Genomic DNA, 3,167 nt, shown 5'->3' with positions numbered 1-3,167 from the left:
TGCTCTACACACATGGGGGTACAAATATCCCTTTGAAATCCTGCTTTGTTTTGAAATATATACCCAGAAATGAAATTGCTGGATCAGACAACTGCTCCTCTTTAAGGAGAGAGACCTGCCCTGCACCCCTGGCTGCCTCTGAAGCTGCCTCTGAGCCTGGTCAGAGAGGCTGAAATGCACACAGGAGCCTGGGAGGCAAAGAATTCCAGATTCCCCTCACTGGCTGCAGCGGATCAGGGAGGATTTCACAGCTCTCTGCCTGCAGGGGTCCTGCATCTGGCAGGCCTCACTATAGACACGGAGCAGAGCCACAGTTACCCAGTGGGGAAGAACAATGTCTAGAAACCTTGGAGAATGGCCCTTAAGGACAGATTGAGCTGTAGGAAAGAGGGACTCAAGTGCCCTGAGCAACAGCTAATGACTGCCACCAGGGAGCTGGAGACATTACTGGGGTAACTGAGCACACACAACCATGGTAGACAGTGGTAGACAGATGTTTGTTGACCAAATGAATCATGGCAGTTCCAACATCCTAAAATGAAAATTCCACCGGGCTCTTGTTCATATGATAGAAGCTCAGTGAATGAATGCATGAATTAGCATAAAATTGTACTGAGTTGCTTTTCTCTGTAAAGGAAGAATATCCAGAGAAGAGGAAAGGTCGAGGACATTCAGCAGACTCTCCCTAGACCCTACTTGGCATAAAGTAAATATCTTGGCAGGCAGGGTAAGGGAAGGGAGAGGGAGAAGGTGTGGTCCTGCCCAGAAGGGGCAGTGGGGACAGAGGAGAATGGGTTCACCCCAAGTGCATTAGAAGAAGATGAAGTATGAAGGAGTATCACAGGTTACCACTAAACCTGGAAAGGGCCTCACGTCTGCTTGACATCTCCTCGGGGCCAGAGGCTTTCTTATAAGGTGTTTCATTCAACGACTCTGAGAGTCAGAATTGTTCCTACTGAACAGATTCAGACACAGGGAGTCATATACTCATTTGCTCTGCAAATGGTAGAGCAGAGATATGGACCCAGGACTGACACCAACTTCCAAGTTCTTCCCTCTTCACCAAAGAGGCAGTCAGGGAGACTTCCTGGAGGAGGAGATGAATTGAGATGAGGATGCATTTTTTTGTCTTGCAGAGGAGAGAAAGGCTTTCCAGGTGGAGGGAAAACATCCCTGCCAAAGCCCTGAGATAGAAAAGAGCAAGGAGTGCTCAGGAATGCAGCAAATATTCCAGTTTGACCAGAGCATGGGGTGGATGGAAGGGAATGTTAAGAAATGGTTGGCTGGGTCCAGTCTGGAAGCTGAGCCCAAGCGTCCCTGATGCTACTGAGTAATGGGAAGCCACTGAGGGCTTCCAGGGTGGGAGGGACACGTTCAGGGCTATGTTTTCCCTGGCAGCTATGTCCTGAGTGTGTTGGAGGAGGTGAGTCATGGGCAAGGCAGGCAGCGGGGAGGCTACTGAAATCCTGCAGGAAAGGGGAAATTCATTTGTCCTACCATGTGCTGAGCCTAAGGGATATAGCTGTGACCTATTAGGCACCTCCATCCTCATAGAATTAATTAAACCAAAATGATTACAAGTTGTAATCTGGACCAGGAAATAGGTAAACAAGATGATGAGAATGGTAATAATGGGAGCATAGTGCAGTCAGGGAACGCTTCTCTGAAGAGGTGACAACTAAGCTAGATAAGAAGGATAAGGAGCCAGCACTGCAAAGAGCCAGGGGAAGAGCCCAGGCAGACAGAACAGAGCCAAGTCTTGGAGGGAGGAAGAGCTTCCATGTTTCAGGAACTGGCGGACCATGCCTGCGGCAAGGGAGGGCCTGGGATGTTTTTTAGGAGATGAGCTGGGAGAGGTGGCAGGGCCAAAGCCTGCAGGGTGGGAGTTGGGATTTTATTCCAGAACAACAGGAAGCTAGGAGAAGGCTTTAAGGAGAAGAATTACGTGCTCCAATTTGTGTTTTTGAAAGGCCTCTCTGGCTGCTTGAAAAATGGGAAGGAGGGGGGCTGGGTGGGGATGAGGACACCAGTCAAGGGACCACAGCAAGGGACAAGGAGAGAGATGAACGTGGCCTGAGCTGGGCAGCAGCCAGAGAGATGGCCCAGAGGAAGCTGGTAGAAGTTCATGGGCTCTGATTCCAGAAAGGAGGGGCCACGAGTGAGAGGCATCATTTGGAGAAATATTCTGTGTTTCAAAGGCAGGTGACAGCCAGGATAAAACACAGCAAAGTTTGACCCTGGCAGCAAATCCAATTTTCACACATCTCCTTCTGGATGAAATTTGCCTTCCCTCAGAGGGGGAGGTCAGTAGCAAAACACTGCAATGCAACCAGAGGCTTTTCTGAGTGGGGAAGGCTCTCCCCAGGGGGATTATTCTGGGCTCAGGGCTGCAATATTCTGTCTGGGTGCCCAGAGGGGGATAGAGGGGAGACGAAGCTCCTCTTTATCCAGCCCCTGCCCCAGGTACCCTCATTCTGATACACTGGACAAACATTTGTGGAGCTCCTGTGTCGTGCCAGGCATTTTTCTAGGTGCTAGAGACAGAGCCGTGAAGGAAAAGACAAAGCCCCTTCTCCCCATCCCTTCTCACAGGCAGCCTCCAGTCTAGGTGTGAATGGCAACTTCCAACGTGGCCCTGATGAGGCTTCCTGGTATTCACAGGTCTTTGCAATCCCCTCTGCTGGACAGACTGACTCCCTTCTAATGAATAGAATGGGGAAAGTGATGGGAGGTCCCTTCTAGGATTAGGTTACAAAAGACTGTGGCTTTGTCCTGCCTGCACTCTCTCCAGGCCCCTCCCCCGCTGGCTCTGATAACGCAAGCTGCCATGTTGTGCGCTTCCCTATGCAGAGGCCCAGGTGGCAAGGAAAGGAGGGAAGACAACGGCTTCCCAGGCTAAGGCCCAGCAACACGTGGGGGAATTGATCTTGCCAACCGTGGGTGGAGGGAGCTTGGCAGCAGATCTGTTCTCAGTCGAGCCCTGACATAAGCACAGCCTGGGCTGATACCTTGATCAGACTGCAGGACACCCCTGACCAGAGGACCCAGCTAAGCCACACCTGGATTCCTGACCCTCAATTCTTTAGCAATGTTGTTTTATGCGACTACATTTTGGGGTATGTGTTATGCAGTAGTTGATGACTAGTACACAAGTGAATAGTTATTAA

The 3,167-nt window shown here is 50.5% G+C and overlaps 1 annotated feature.

The window, feature by feature from the left end:
* Positions 2,652-2,946: an enhancer, noted in NCBI's record as "tiled region #487; HepG2 Activating non-DNase unmatched - State 22:ReprW, and K562 Activating non-DNase unmatched - State 23:Low". NCBI's record gives its function as "activates a minimal TATA promoter and a strong SV40 promoter by Sharpr-MPRA in HepG2 and K562 cells {active_cell/tissue: HepG2 | K562}" and the evidence as "EXISTENCE:reporter gene assay evidence [ECO:0000049][PMID:27701403]".

Source organism: Homo sapiens, chromosome 1 (assembly GCF_000001405.40).
Source record: "Homo sapiens chromosome 1, GRCh38.p14 Primary Assembly".
Lineage (NCBI taxonomy): Eukaryota > Metazoa > Chordata > Mammalia > Primates > Hominidae > Homo > Homo sapiens.
Note: the sequence above shows the minus strand (reverse complement) of the source record. Positions and strands in the feature narration are given on the sequence as shown.